The sequence below is a fragment of the Homo sapiens genome, chromosome 9 (genome assembly GCF_000001405.40).
Source record: "Homo sapiens chromosome 9, GRCh38.p14 Primary Assembly".
In the NCBI taxonomy this organism is placed as follows: Eukaryota; Metazoa; Chordata; class Mammalia; order Primates; family Hominidae; genus Homo; species Homo sapiens.
This window is the reverse complement of record NC_000009.12, coordinates 42,716,879-42,733,079: the sequence shown is the minus strand read 5'-3', so window position 1 is coordinate 42,733,079 and position 16,201 is coordinate 42,716,879. Positions and strand designations below refer to the sequence as shown.

The 16,201-nt window shown below is 40.8% G+C and overlaps 1 pseudogene; it reads left to right on the top strand.

Moving 5' to 3' along the window:
* Window positions 1-7,439: 7,439 nt before the first annotated feature.
* The window catches only part of LOC124902164 (uncharacterized protein FLJ76381-like), a 56,858-nt pseudogene continuing 48,096 nt past the window's right edge, over window positions 7,440-16,201 (top strand).

The window sequence follows — 16,201 nt, the reverse complement described above, 5'->3', positions numbered from 1 at the left end:
AAAGGGAAGCAGAGCATAAAAGATTGGAAAATTTGCAGCCTGACCATGTGGTAGAAAAGAAAAACCAAATTTCTGGTAAGACATTCAACTCAGCTGCAGGAATTTCCATAAGTAAAGAGGAGCAGAATGTGAATAGCCAAGACAATGGGGAAAATGCCTCCAGGACATTTCAGAGATCTTCACAGTAGCCCTTCCCATCACAGGCCTGAAAGATTAGGAGGGAAAAATGGTTTCGTGGCCTAGGCCCAGGACCCCACTGTTGTGTACAGCCTCGGGACATGTCACCCGGAATCCCAGCTGCTCCAGCTCCAGCTGTGGCTAAAAGGGCCCCAGATACATCTCAGGCCACTGCATCAGAGGGTGCAGCCATAAGAAGCCTTTGTGGCTTCCATGTGGTTTTAAGCTTACAGGTGCAAGGAAGGCAAGAGTTGAGGCTTGGGAGTTTCCACCTAGATTGTAAAGGTTGTATGATAATGCCTGGATGCCCAGGAGGAAGTCTGCTGTAGGGTCAGAGCCCTCATGGAGAGCCTTTACTAAAGCAGTCTGGAGGTGAAATGTGGGTTTGGAGGCCCCACTCAATGTCCGCACTGGGGCACTGCCTAGTGGAGCTGTGAGAAGAGGGCCACTGTCCTGCAGGCCAGAGAATGGTAGATCCACTGAAAGCTTTCACTGTGTGCCTGGAAAAGCCACAGGCACTCAATGCCAGCCCATGGAAGCAGTCACTGGGGCTGTACCCCGCAGAGCCATGGGGCGGAGCTGCCCAAGGCCTTGGGACCCCACCCCTTGCATCAGTGTGGCCTGGATGCACACCATGAGCAGTAATGGGAAAATTCTTATTGAAAAAGACAAGAACAAATCAGCCCAGTGAGATGAATTACATGTTGCACTCCTTCCTGTGATGGAAGAATTCAACAATGACAGGATCTTCTACATTTTGGTTTTTACTTTTACTGACTCATGGGCAGTGGCCAATTGCCTGGCCATGTGACTAGGCAGAGGGGCAATGGCAAACTGGGCTGTGAAAGGATCCCCACATGGAGCACAGCACTGCAGGAATTTAAAGGGCACATTAAAGTAGGTCATGTCAATTCCCACCTGAAGAACCCCTCCCAGGATCAGTGATCAGTTCTGGTAGGTGGATATCCTGGTGACCTTGAGGTGGCCACCTGGGCTTAATGAAGGAGTGGACACAGGGGAGCTGCAGCCGTGCAGAGATGGGCTGCTCAGCAACACATCCCTCCTCTACCCTCAGAGGCACCAAATGCCAACAAGAACTGTCCTACCTGACAGCAGGAAGACAGAGACCGCAGGTGGCTATAGGACAGATTCCCAGTGGGAAGGCACCACTCATAGCTAACAAGTAGATTATACCAGACTGAAGCCAGTATCCCTGGGAGGCTATAATGGGTCCTGACACATTCTCTGGACTGGGCTTTGCATAGTTATTAGATTCAAATGCCAAAAATACTATAAAAGAGCTGGAACAGATGATAAGACATCAACTTGGACCACCAAGTTTTATTTCTTCAGGCCAAAGAACACATTTATGGCCCACAGTGTCCTATAATGGACATACCATGTTGCATATTGTCTTCATCTCCTAGGGCTGCCATAACAAAGTGCCACAAACCATGTGGCTGACTTACAAAACAAAATGCACTGTCTCACAGTTCTGGAGACTAGAAGTCTGAGATCAAGTTCTTGGCAGGGCTGGTTCCTTCTGAGGGTTGTGAGAAAGAATCTAATCCACACTTCTCTCCTAGCTTCTGGTGGTTTGCTGGCAATCTTTGGCATTCCTGGGCTTGTAGAATTCTGCCTTCATATTCATATGGCATATCCCCTGTGTTATCTCTGTGCACAAATTTCCCTTTTTTATAAAGACACAAATCATACTGGATTAGGGGGCCCACCCTATTACAGCATGACCTCATCTTAAATAATTACATTAACAACAACCCCATTTCCAAATAAGGTCATGTTCTTAGGTACTGGGGGTTCTGAGTTCAGCATACAAATTTTTTATTTACGGTAACATATATCCCTTTTTTCAGTTTTCATTGTGTTAAAACACACATAAAATTTACCATCTTAACCATTTTAAGTGTACAATTCAGTGGTATTAAATACATTGATAGTGTTGTACAAGTATCCCCACAACCCATCGGCAAAACTCTCTTCATCTTGTAACTGAAATAATATTTATTAAAACCTAACCCCTACCCCCTCCTCCCAGCCCCTGGCAACCACCATTCTACCTTCTGTCTATGAAGTTGAATATTCTAGGCCCTTCATTTAAATGGAATCATGCAGTATTTGTTTTTGTGACTGGCTTATTTCACCTAGCATAACGTACTCAAGGTGCATCCATGTTATAGCATATGTCAGAATTTTCTTCCTTTTGGAAGCTGAATAATATTCCACTGTATGTATGTATATGTCAGATTCTGTTTTTCCATTCATCCCTCAATGAATGCTTAGATTATTTCCACTTTTGGCTATTGTGTCTAATGCTGCTATGAACATGGGTGTACAGATATCTCTTTGAGGCCCTGCTTTCAATTATTTTGGTATTCCACCCAGAAGTGGAAATGCTGGATCATAGGGTAATTCTGTTTCTAATTTCTTGAGGAATCACCGTACTGTTTTCCATACTAGATGTACGGTTTTATATTCCCACCAGCAGGAATATAAGCATTCCAAACATGAATTTTGTGGGAACATATTTCAAACCATAGCAGTCACCAAAAGCTCAAGCAACAAAACAAAAAATAGATCAGTTCGATTTCATTAAAAACTTCTGTGTTTCAAAGTTGACATGGTTTGGCTGTGTCCCCACCCAAATCTCATCTTGAGTTGTAACTACCAGAATTCTCATGTGTTGTGGGAGAAACCCAGTGGAAGTTGACTGAATTATGGGGGCAGGTCTTTCTTGTGCTGTTCTCATGATAGTGAATGGGTCTCAGGAGATCTGATGGTTTTAAAAATGAGAGTTTCCCTGCACAAGCTCTCTCTTTGCCTGCTGCCATCCATTTAAGACGTGACTTGCTCCTCCTTGCCTTTCATCTTTCACCATGATTGTGTGGTCTCCCCAGCCACATGGAACTGTGAGTCCAATAAAACTCCTTCTTTTGTAAATTGTCCAGTCTCAGGTATGTGTTTATCAGCAGCATGAAAACAGACTAATACAATGGTTACATAAGAAAATAAGGACAACCACAGAATGGGACAAAAACTTATAAGTCCTATATCTGATAAGGAACACATGTTCCAGATGATATAACCACTCTTACAACTCAATAAAAAGAAAACTCAATTTAAAAATGGGCAAAAGATGAATAGACATTTCTTCAAAAAGATGAAAAATGGCCAATAAGCATGTGAGAAGGTGCTCAATAACATTCATTATTAGGGAAATGCAAATCAAAACACAATGATACACCACTTCACCCCAACGAGATAACTAAATTCAAAAGACAAACAATAAGAAGTCTCAGCAAAAACAGGAAACTGGATAAGAACCTTCATTCAATGCTGAGGGAATGTAAAATCTTGTCTGTTGTGGAAAACATTTTGGTAGTTTCTCAAAAATTAAAACAGAGTTATCATATGATCCAGTAATTACACTCCAAGGTATATACTTAAAAGAAATGAAACCACACAAAAACGTATACCTTAATGTTCACAGCAGCATTATTCATCATAGCCAAAGTGGAAACAAGACCACTCAAGCCAGCCCTGCCTCAGAACCTGACAAAGTTAAATGGAAGCCTACAGAGCTGAGCCACATTTCCATGGGAGACATTTTGGTCATTCCAGGTGATGATGAACTACACCAATTGTTAGTGGCTGAGAAGAACCTCAGGAATGTGCCAGCATCTTTTGACTTTTATTTTGGGGGGCTGCATCTACTACCACGACATGCAATATGGGTAACACTGGCATGGCTGCTTAGATTTGATTACCTCATGCAAATAAGTCATGTGGTAATACTGATATTGATGATCAAATGTATTGGGAGATTGAGTTAAAGTCTCCTCAGGATGTAATACCAATGGAAAATGAGTCTTTAGAAGAACTATATTTAGTTAACCATCACCTAATTTCCAGATAAATAGTTCTGCACAGGTCATATAAGATACAAAGAGCAGTATATCAAGGGGGAGGATGATCTTGGGGACTCCTGAAATATACTGTAAATAACCCAGATATCCTCCAGTAAATAAATGGATATACAAATGTGGTATACATACATATGTACATACAATGGAACGTTATTCAGCCATAAACAGGAATGAAGTACTGATACAGCCTACACAATGAATGAACCTCAATAAACTGTAGAATCCTGCTAAGTGAAAGAAGCCAGTCAGAAAAGACCAGATATTGGATGACACATTTATATAAAATGTCCAGAATAGGCAAATCTAGAGACAGAAAGCAGATTCATGGTTGTCAGGGGTTGAGGGAAGGAGGAAATGAGGAGTGATTAAGTGAATTAATGCATGTTAACACTATAAACTTTGGGCAACTGCCCAATCACACAGACAGTGCAGTCTCATTCATGCGTTACATGACAAAACAAAGAGAAAAGCCTGGGTAGAAATACCAACATGTATGTTATGAAAAATATAACACCTAAATAAACAGAGAAACTATGTTCCTTAATGAGCAAATTCAATATTATAAGGTTGCCAATTCTCCTCCCATAGTTTCTCAAAAGTTGCAATGTAATGCAATTTTAATCCAAATGGCATGGTTATCTAGACAAGAAAAAAATTGATTGTAAAATTTATATGAAATAATAAAGGTGTGAGAATTGCAAGGAAAATTTTCAAATGGAAAATTATTACAGGAGAAAGGAGTGTGGAGACCTTGCTCTGTATGGTAGAAGTCAAAGACAGCTACCATCAATTCTTTCCCTTCCTCAACACACATTGCTTCTCAAGAGGTGAGGAATAGCTCCCCTCCCCTTGAATCTGGCTGCCTTGCAACTTGCTCAATCCATAGAATATGACATAAATTCCATTCTGGGAATTCTACTATTGGATTATTTTTTTTTCTCAGATGGAGACTCACTCTGTTGCCAGGCTGGAGTGCAGTGGTGCAATCTCGCCTTACTGCAACCTCCGCCTCCCAGGTTCTAGAGATTCTCCTGTCTCAGCCTCCCAAGTAGTTGGGACTACCATCACACACCACCATGCCCAGCTAATTTTTGTATTTTTTTTTATTAGAGATGGGTTTCACTATGTTGGCCAGGATGGTCTCAATCTCTTGACCTCGTGATCTGCCTGCCTTGGCCTCCCAAAGTGCTGGGATTACATGCGTGAGTCATCGCGCCTGGCCCGATTTTTTTTTTTTTTTTAAAGAAACTGAATCCTGTATTTTGGTCTCTTGGTAGCCTTGCTCCTGGGAAGCTCTTCCTTGAATCTAGTCACCATTCCATTCCACCAGGCCACATATGTCTTCAGGCAACAGGCAACATCAATTGTCAGCCGTGTAGGTGAGTTTCAGATGACTGTGGCCCCAGCTAATGCTTGACTATAGCACATGTGAGAGCCCCATGCAGAACCCCCTAGAACCATGGAGAGCAGTCACCCTGCAGAACCATGAGTAAGTTAAGCTTAGGGGTGGTTAATTACACAGAAATAAGTAAACAGAGCACTCCAACAGGTATTAAAGATTATTACAAAGATTATGTAATTAAAACAATACAGAACAGACCAGGGTTGACTACAAGATCAATGGGACAGAATAAAGTTACATATCCAATGCCTGCTGCTGACCACAGGGATTTGTCACAGATCTCATCACTTAGAAACCCTACAGCGGTTTCCCCGGTCACCTTCCAGTCACCACTACACCTTGGCTCCTTTTAGCACTCCTCCCTAGCTTATCACTATATGAAATTGCTTTATCTCTTTGTATTGTCTGTCACCTGCCACCATAATGTGAATTTCTAGACCTCCATAGCATGTAAAGCTCTAGAACAGTTCTTAGAACACAGAAGGTGCTTGACAAATATTTTCTGAAAGAAAAAGAAGATACTTCAATGCCTCAGTTTACTAATGAGGTGGGGCTACCATATGGCTGCCTGAACAAATACAGCTTGACATTCACTTTCTTGCTAGTGATTGAAGTGTATTAACTTGTGTAATCACACAACTACCCTACGGGGTAGGTGCCCTTATTTCTCCATTTAGCAGAAAGGGGCTAAGTATCTTAACCAAGGTCACACGGCTTTCAAGTGCCAGAGCCAGGACTCAGATCTACACAGGTCTGGCTCCAGAGCCCCCAGTCTAACCTCTTAACCTCTCTGCTTTACTGGGCTAAACCTTCACCACCTATCATATGGAAAAAGAAATTCAATAGAAATTTATATGGAAAAAATACAACTCTGTGTTAATATTAAAAAATCCATAGTAACATGTACAATGAGGAAGCTTCCTCAAGCCCAACTATACAGGTCAGATCGGTTGAAAAAATAAAACTAACACATTTTTACATGTCAAAATATGCAATATTTGAAAATCCAAGGCTAATATCTTTAAATAGGCAAAGATTTATTAATACCCCTTGACACAGAAACAGGAAGTGAGAAAATGGGCAACTGACACAAATCAATAATTAACTGTGCGGACATAGGTGGTGGAGTCTCTCCTAATCCTCTATTCTTGGAGATCTGGATGCCTGCCATTTGCGTATGGGAAGAACAGAGACGGTCATGGAGAACAGCATTTAATCTAGAAAGGACCACAATGAGGTCAAAGGGCAGTCTCAGGGCAGTCTTAAGAGCTCCCCATCCCCAAAGAACTGGCAAGGACTCTCCAGGTGCTCGTAAGCGACTGCTGCCCAACTCCCATCACGAACTCAGAAGACCTGTCATTTTCTGAAATTTTCATGACTCCTAAGACACTAGTTATTGGGGAAAACTTCAAATTATTTAAATAACGAGAGGCGAATAACATTGCTAAACTCATGAATACTCTGTATTTAAAACCTCTACTGGCGATCAGAGCACATAGAATCTCTACTACTGATCCCTGACGCTGGCCATCCCCCAACCCGTCGGCCCACGGACCCCAGCCCTGATCCCACCTCCTCCCAGCATCTTACACAAGGATTCTCACCATACTCCCCAGAGACTCGCCTGCCCAGGGCCCCTCTCTCACCCCATATAGCTCAGGTCTCTGACCCCGAGACAGCATCACCGACCTCTCCCACTACCTATTTCCAGATTAGAGTCCCTGATCCCAGAGGCATTGTCTAAAATAACTAGCTCTTACAACTACGTCCACTTCAGGAACCGCCCTGTGATGTCAGAACTTTGAGGCCGCCCGGCCAGGGCTGCACATGCTCAGTGAGGCCGGCGCCCGCCAGTAACAAACATGGCTCCCTGAAGCCGCTCAGGCTCAAGAGCAACATGGAGGTCTGCACTTAATCGCTCCTCTCCGGGGACGGCCATACTGAGGAGGCATCTCTTCCGTGCAGGCAGGCTCTCCTGGGGACCTCAGAGATTCTCTCCAGTGGCAGCGGAAAATGAGCAATGGGTGGATTCGGGTCCAGATTCTGGCAGGAGGGAGTTTGGGATCGAGATCTGGAAAAAAGCACTAGACTGGAAGAGGACGCGATGGAGTCGGAGCCGCTGGCGGGGACAAAAACCAGAGGCCCGGGAAGGCGCCGGTGGGAGGCAAGGCGCGCATGGACTTTACCTGCGCACGCGTCGCAGCCATCTCCGCGCACAGTGGTGGCCACCGCGACTGGTGCTGAAGAGTCGGCGCGTGCCAGGCGCTCCGCTGAAACGGGGTTGCTGGCCCTGAATCTCAGCTTTCTCATCTGTACGGTTGGGACAAGTACAGTAACCCTCGCCCGTCAAGACGGGCCAGGGCTGTCGCGAGGGTCCACGCCTTAGAGCAGGCACCTATCTTCTGCAGGGCCCTGAGATGGGGTCTGACTCAGTTCCTGCGGGGAACTTCACCAGTGACCCAGTCAGTGCCCTTCAGTTAAAGACCACCAGGAGCACACTTGTAATTACATTGCAGCAAGGAATGGGGTACTATGGGTCATCTCAGTGGGAGGAGTTAGAGAGAAACTGTTATACGATTTGGGCTTTAATTGGTTGATTTCGGATAGGATCTCAGAAAGTGAAGACTTTAGATTGGATGCTGTCAGAAAGCAGGAGCAATATGATTATTAAGTATTTGTGGGTGACATCAAGACCTTGTTTTTTATCTGCACTTAGACAACATTATAAAGTGCCCTTGTTTTTGTTTGCATTTATCACGGTCTCAGATTAACCTTCTGAAGTTGATATTATGCTGTGAGATTGTTTATGTCCAACAGGAAAACAAAATGTCCTGGCCATAAGCATCAGACCACCGTGTAATAACATTAAGGCCTAACTGTGACCCAAATATTGACAGAATTGAAGTTAGAAATAGTTCTACAGTAATAGAGTCTTCAATACTCCATATAAAATAATGCATAGAAGCTGGACATGGTGGCTCATGCCTTTAATCTCAGCTACCTGGGAGGCTGCGGCAGGTGGATTGCTTGAGGTCAAGTGTTCGAGACCAGCCTGGGCCTTTTGGCCTGTCTCGGCTTTTAACATACCTTCCTCACTCAGCTTAATCATTTCTCACTTTTGATTTATAATAAGAGATGTGTGACTCCTACTTTCACTTGAACACATAGAGACCTTTATAGAGTTATTAATTGGCCTAATTTCAATACTCCTGTGTCTCAGAAAACAGGGAGACCTGAGGAGAGGGGGAGATGGAGGAAGGGTAGATCGATGGAACCATTCGAATACACACATGTATCAATTAAGCTCATTGTCTTTTGGACCATGGCTTGTGATGCCCCAAAACAATGACAATAGTAATATCAACGATCACTGATAACAGATCACCATAACAGATATAATAATAACAAAACATTTGAAATATTGCAAGAACTACAAAAATGTAACACAGAGGTACAAAATAAGCACATGCTACCAGAAAAGTGGCACTGGTAGACTTGCTTGATGCAGGGTTGCCACAAACCTTCAACCTGTAAAAACTGCAATATCCGAGAAGCATAATAAAGTGAAGTTCAACAAATCAAGGTAAGCTTGTATATGTATGCATGCACACACCAATACACATCCACCTATCCGCACACAAATCTTTGTACAAACAAATCCTGTATTTTCAATTCCAACAATACATCATTTGTACCTTAAAAATATCTGTCATCCTTGTAGCGTCCTTTTCTGTCTTTGTTATCAGGGTAATGCTGGCCTCATAAAAAAATGTTTGGAAGTGTTCCCTCCTCTTCAACTTTTGGAAGTGTTTGTGAAGAAATGGTATTAATTCTTCTTTAAACATTTGGTAGAATTCTCCACTAAGCTATCTGGTCTTGGATATTCCTTTTTCAGGAGCTTTTTGACTACTGACTCAATATTTTTACTCATTATTTATCTGTTTTTATTTTCTATTTCTTCATGTTTCAGTCTTAGTGGATGTATGTTTCTAGAAATTTCTCTATTCTAAGTTAAACAATTTGTTGACACATAGTTGTTTAGAGTAGACTATTATTATCCTTTGTATTTCTATGGTACCAATTTTAATATCTCCTTTTTTGTTCTAATTTTATTTACTTGAGATTTCTTTTTTCTTAGCCTAGTGAAAGGCTGGTCAATTTTTATTATCTTTTCAAAAAATCAGCTCTTCGTTTCATTGATCTTTTCTGTTGTTTTTCTTGTCTATTTCATTTATTTCTGCTATGATCTTTGTTATTTCCTTCTTCTAATTTTGGGCTTGATTTTTTTTTCTATTTTTTGAGGTTTATTTGAGATCTTTTTTCTTCATTTAGCACTTATCTGTATAAACTTCCCTGTCTTAGAACGGCTTTTGCTTCATCTCATAAGTTTTAGTATGTCGTGCTTTCATTTTAGTTTGTCTCAAGTTATTTTATTTCTTTTTTGGTGTTTTCTTTGATTTATTGGTTATTCAGGAGTGTGTTGGTTGATTTCCACATATTTGTCACTTTTCTAAGTTTTCTCCTGTTTTTAATTTTCAGTTTCATGCCACTGTAGTCAAAAAGAATACTTGATAAGATTTCAATCTTCTTAAATTTGCTAAGACTTGTTTTCTGGCCTAATATATGACCTGTGTTGGAGAAAGTACTGTGTATGCTCGAGAAGAATGTGTATTTTGCTGTTTTGGAAAGGAATGTCATGTATATGTCTGGTCCATTTGATCTATAGTGTAGTTCAAGTCATCTGTTTCCTTATTGATTATCTGTCTGAGTGATCAATCCATTGTTGAAAGTGGGATATGGAAGTCCCCTACTGTTATTGTATTATTGTTGTCCACTTCTCTCTTCAGATTTGTTAATATTTGCTTTATATAATTAGGTGCTCCAATGTTGGGAGAATATATATTTGCAGTAGTCATATCCTCTTGATGAATTGACCCTTGTATCATTCTATGACTTTCTTTGTCTCTTGTTACAGTTTTTGACTTAAAGTCTATTTTGTTTGTTGTAAGAATAGCTACTCTTTGTCTTTTTTTGTTCCCTCTCTTTCAGTCTGTGTGTGTCTCTAAAGGTGAAGTGAGTCTCTTATAGGTGGCATATATTTGGTTCTTGTTTTACTATCCATTCAGCCACTCTGTGGCTTTTGTTTCACTAATTTGGTCCACTGATATTTAAAGTAACTATTGATAGGCATTTTGTAGGTTTTTTGTTCTTTTATTTCTCTCTTGCTGTGCATGATTTGATTACTTTGATTATTTTCTGTAGTGGTATACTTTGATTCTTTGCTGTGCCTTTGTATTAATTCTTTTTTAAATGTGGTAAAATTCTCATATGTGTATCTATTACTTATTTTGTCTTTGTGATTATCATGACGCTTACATAAAACATTGTATGCTATCATCTGCCACATAAGGATGTTTTGGTCAATGATGGGCCACATATACAACGGTGGTCCCATAAGGTTATAACATTTTTATTGTACCTTTCATATGTTTAGATACATTAGATACACAAATGCTTATGATTGTATTACAGTTGCCTATAGCATTCAGTATAGTACAGTGCTGTACAGATTTGTAGCCTGGAAGCAATAGGTTATACCATATAGCCTGGGTGCGTATTACGTAGTATTATCTAATTTTGTGTAAGCACACTCTATAATATTCACACCATGACAAAATTGCATAATGAGGCATTATTCAGAGCATATCCACATTAAGAAATGCATGATTATAGTTATAATGGTCTATTTTAAGTTGATAACAACTTAACTTCAATCATATACAAAAACCCTACACTTACCTCCACTTTTTATGTTTTTTGATGTCAGAGTTTCTTTCTTTGTATATTTTGTAATTATATTTATTTGTAGTATTTTTTATCTTTTAACCTTTTAAAAGCTAAAGTGATTATACTGCATCATTACAGTATTAGGAGTATTTTGAATTTGACTGTATAGTTACTTTTACCAGTGACTTTTTATAACTACATATGGTTTCATGATACTAATTAGTCTTATTGCATTTCAGTTTGAGGAACTCCCTTTAGGGTTTCTTATAAAGCAGATCTAGTGACAGTGGACTCCCCTAGATTATTTTGGGGTTTTTCTGAAAAAGTCTGTAAGTCCTAGCCAGAGCAGTTAGGTAAGAAAAAGAAATAAAAGGCATCCAAATTGGAAAAGAAATGAAAGTGTCTCTGTTTGAAGATGACATGATCTTATATAGAGAAAATTCTAAAAGCTCCAATAAAAAAGTGTTAAAATTAAGAAACAAATTCAACAAATTTACAGAACACATAATTAACATTAAAAAAAAAAAACCTGTTGCATTTCTATATACTAACAGTGAACTATCCCAGAAAGAAATTAAGAAAACAATCTTGGGCCGGGTACAGTGGCTCACGCCTGTAATCCCAGCAATTTGGGAGGCTGAGGCAGGTGGATCATGAGGTTAGGAGATTGAGACCATCCTGGCTAACACGGTGAAACCCCATCTCTACTAAAAATACAAAAAATTACCGGGCGTGGTGGCGGCCGCCTGTAATCGGGAGGCTGAGGCAGGAGAATGGTGTGAACCTGGGAGGCAGAGCTTGCAGTGAGCTGAGATCATGCCACTGCACTCCAGCCTAGGTGACAGAGCGAGAGTCCATCTGAAAGAACACAATCTCATTTACAGTAGCATCAAAAAATTAACTTAGGAATAAATGTAAATCAGAAAGTAAAATTTCTATATACCAAAAACTATAAAACACTGATGAAAGAATTTGAAGAAGACACATATCTCTATTACTCAGTGTGATCTACAGATATAATGCAACCCCTATCAAAATTTCAGTGGCATTTTTCAAAGAAATGGAAAAAAGCAATTCTAAAATCTGTGTGCAACAGACCCCAAACAGTCAAAACATCCTTGAGCAGAAAAAACAAAAGTGGAAGCATCACATTACCTTATTCCAAACTAAATTATAAAGCTATAGTAATGAAAATAGTACGGTACTGGCATAAAAACAGACATGTAGGCCAAGGAAAAAGAATAGAGAGCACAGAAATAAATCCATGCCTTTACAATCAATTGATCTTCAGCATTGGTGCCAAGAATACACAATGATAAAAGTTTAGTCTCTTTAATAAATGGTGTTGGGAAAACTAGATATCCACATGCAGAAGAATGAAACTGAACCCTTATCTCACCCTACATACAAAAATTGACACAAAATGGATGAAAGACCTCAACCTAGGAGCAATACTGTAAAACTCTTAGACATAAATATAGGAGAAAAGCTCCTTGACACTGGCATTGGTAATAAATTTTCAGATTTGACACCAAAAGTATAGACAACAAAAGCAAAACTAGACAAATGGGACTAAATCAAAGTAAAAGATTCAGCACAGCAAAGGAGACAATCAATACAATGAAAAGACAACCTAAAGAATGGGAGAAAATATTTACATGCTATATATCTGATAAGAAGTTAATATCCAAATAAATTAGGAACTCAGACGATTCCAAAGGACCTTGTATTAGTCTGTTTTCATGCTGCTGATAAAGACATACCTGAGACTGGGTGATTTATAAAGAAAAAAGAGGTTTAATGGACTCACAGTTCCACATAGGTGGGGAGGCCTCATGATCACAGTTGGAAGGTGAAAGGCACGTCTTACATGACAACAGGCAAGACAGGATGAAAGCCAAGCAAAAGGGGAAACCCCTTATAAAGCAATCAGATCTCATGAGATTTATTTACTACCACGAGAACAGTACGGGAGAAACTGCCCCCATGATTCAATTGTCTTCCACCAGGTCCCTTCCACAACATGTGGGAATTATGGGAACTACAATTCAAGATGAGATTTGGGTAGGGACACAGCCAAATCATATCATTCTGCCCTGGCTCCTCCCAAATCTCATGTCTTCACATTTGAAAGCAAATTACACCTTCCCAACAGTCCCCCAACATCTAAACTCATTTCAGCATTAACTCAAAAGTCCACTCTCCAAAGTCTTATCTGAGACAAGGCAAGTCCCTTCCAGCTATGAGCCCATAAAGTCAAAAGCAAGTCAGTTGCTTTCCAGATACAATGGAGGTACAGGGAGGGGGTAAATATACCTGTTCCAAATGGTTGAAATTGGCCAAAACAAAGAGGCTACAGGCCCCAAATCCAAAATCCAGCAGTCCAGTCAAATCTTAAAGTGCCAAAATGAACTCTTTTGACTCCATGTCTTGCATCCAGGTCACACTTATGCAAGAGGTGGGCTCCCACGGCCTTGGGCAGCCGCACCCCCGTGGCTTTGCAGGACATATCCCCCCTCCTGGTTGCTTTCATGAGCTGGCATTGTCTGTGGTCTTCCCATGCACATGGTCAAGCTGTTGGTGGATCTACCATTCTGGGGTCCGGAGGACGGTGGCCCTCTTCTCACAGCTCCAGGAGGCAATACCCCAGTGGGGACTCTGTGGGGGCTTCAACCCCACATTTCCCTTCTGCACTGTCCTAGCAGAGGTTTTCCATGAGGGCCCCACCCCTGCAGCAAAATTCTGCCTGGACCTCTAGGTGTTTCCATACATCCTCTGAAATCTAGGCAGAAGTTCCCAAATCTCAGTTCTTGACTTCTGTGCACCCACAGACTCAACACCATGTGAAACTGCCAAGGTTTGGGGCTTGCGCCTCTGAAGCCACAGTCCAAGCTGTACCTTGGCCCCTTTTAGCCGTGGCTAAAGTGGCTGGGATGCAGGGCATCAAGTCCCAAGGTGGCACACAGCAGGGGGGTCCTGAATCCAGCCCAGGAAACCATTTTTTCCTTTTAAGCCTCCTGGCCTCTGATGGGAAGGACTGCCACAAAGGTCTCTGACATGTCCTGGAGATATTTTCCCCATTGTCTTGGGGATGAACATTTGGGTCCTTGTTGCTTATGCAAATTTCTGCAGCTGGCTTGAATTTCTCCTCAGAAAATTGGTTTTTCTTGTCTATCACATCGTTTGGCTGCAAATTTTCCAAAGTTTTATGCTGCTTCCTTTTAAAACTGAATGCTTTTGACAGCACCCAAGTCACCTCTTGAATGCTTTGCTGCTTAGAAATTTCTTCCGCCAGCTACCCTAAATCATCTCTCTCAAGTTCAAAATTCCTCAAATCTCTAGGGCAGGGGCAAAATGCTGCCAGTCTCCTTGCTAAAACATAGCAAGATTTACCTTTACTCCAGTTCCCAACAAGTTCCTCATCTCCATCTCAGACAACCTCAGCCTGAATTTCATTGTCCATATCATTATTAGCATTTTGGTCAAAGCTACTCAACAAGTCGCTAGGGAGTTCCAAATTTTCTCATGTTTTTCTGTCTTTTTGTGAGCCCTCCAAACTGTTGCAACCTCTGCCTGCTACCCAGTTCCGAAATTGGTTCCACATTTTTGGATAACTTTACAGCAGCACCCCACTCTACCAGTACCAATTTGCTGTATTCATCTGTTTGCATGCTGCTGATAAAGGCATACCAAAGACTGTGTGATTTATAAAGAAAAAGAGGTTTAATGGACTCACAGTTCCATGAGGCTGGGGAGGTCTTACTTATGGTGGGAGGCTAAAGGCACATATTACACAGCAGCAGGCAAGACAGAATGAAAGCCAAGTGAAAAAGGAAATCCCTTATAGAACAATCGGATCTTGTGAGGCTTATTTACTACCACAAAAACAGTGTGGGGGAGACTGCTCCCATGATTCAACTATCTCCTACTGGGTCCCTCCCATAACACATGGGAATTATGGGAGCTACAATTCAACATGAGATTTGGGTGGGGACACAGTCAAGCATATCAGACCTGAAGAGATACATTTCTAAAAGACATACGATTGACAATAGGTATATACTAAGAAAAAGAGGTTTGCCATCACTAATCATCAGGAAAATGCACAATCAGATATCACTTCACATCTATTAGGATGGCTATTATAACAGTAAAAAGGTAACAAATGTTGCTGAGGATATTGAGAAAATGAAACCCTTGCGCTTAGTTGATAGTTGATGGGAATGTAAATTGGTACAGCCATTACAGACAACAGTATGGAGTTTCCTCAAAAAATTACAAATGGAACTCCCATATAATCCAGCAATCCCCATCTAGGTATATATCCAAAGTAAAGAAAATCACTATCTCAAAGAGATATGTATACTTACATGTTCATTGCAGTGTTATGTACACAGCCAAGATACGGAAACTACCTGTGTCCATTGACAGATGAATGGATGTTTTAAGTGTATTACACACACACACACACACACACACACACACACAGACACACACACATATGTAATGGAATATCATTTAGCCTTTAAAAATGAGGAAATGCTGCCATTTGTAACAAGATGGATAAACCTGGAGTTTATTATGGTAAGTAAAATAAGCCAGGAACACACACAGAAATATCCTGCATGATTTCACTTATATGCATACTTAAAAAATGTCAAACTCATGGTAAGAGAGTAAAATAGTGCTTACCAGGGCCTGGGAGTTGGGGGAAAAGAAAAAATGTTTGTCACAAGGTACAAACTTTCAGTTATAAGATGAATAAGTTCTGGAGATCTAATGTACAGCATAGTGACTAAAGTCAATAATAATGTATACTTGAAATTTGCTGAAAGAGTAGATCTCAAGTGTTCTCCACCACACAAACACAAATAAAAAGGTAACCAGGTGA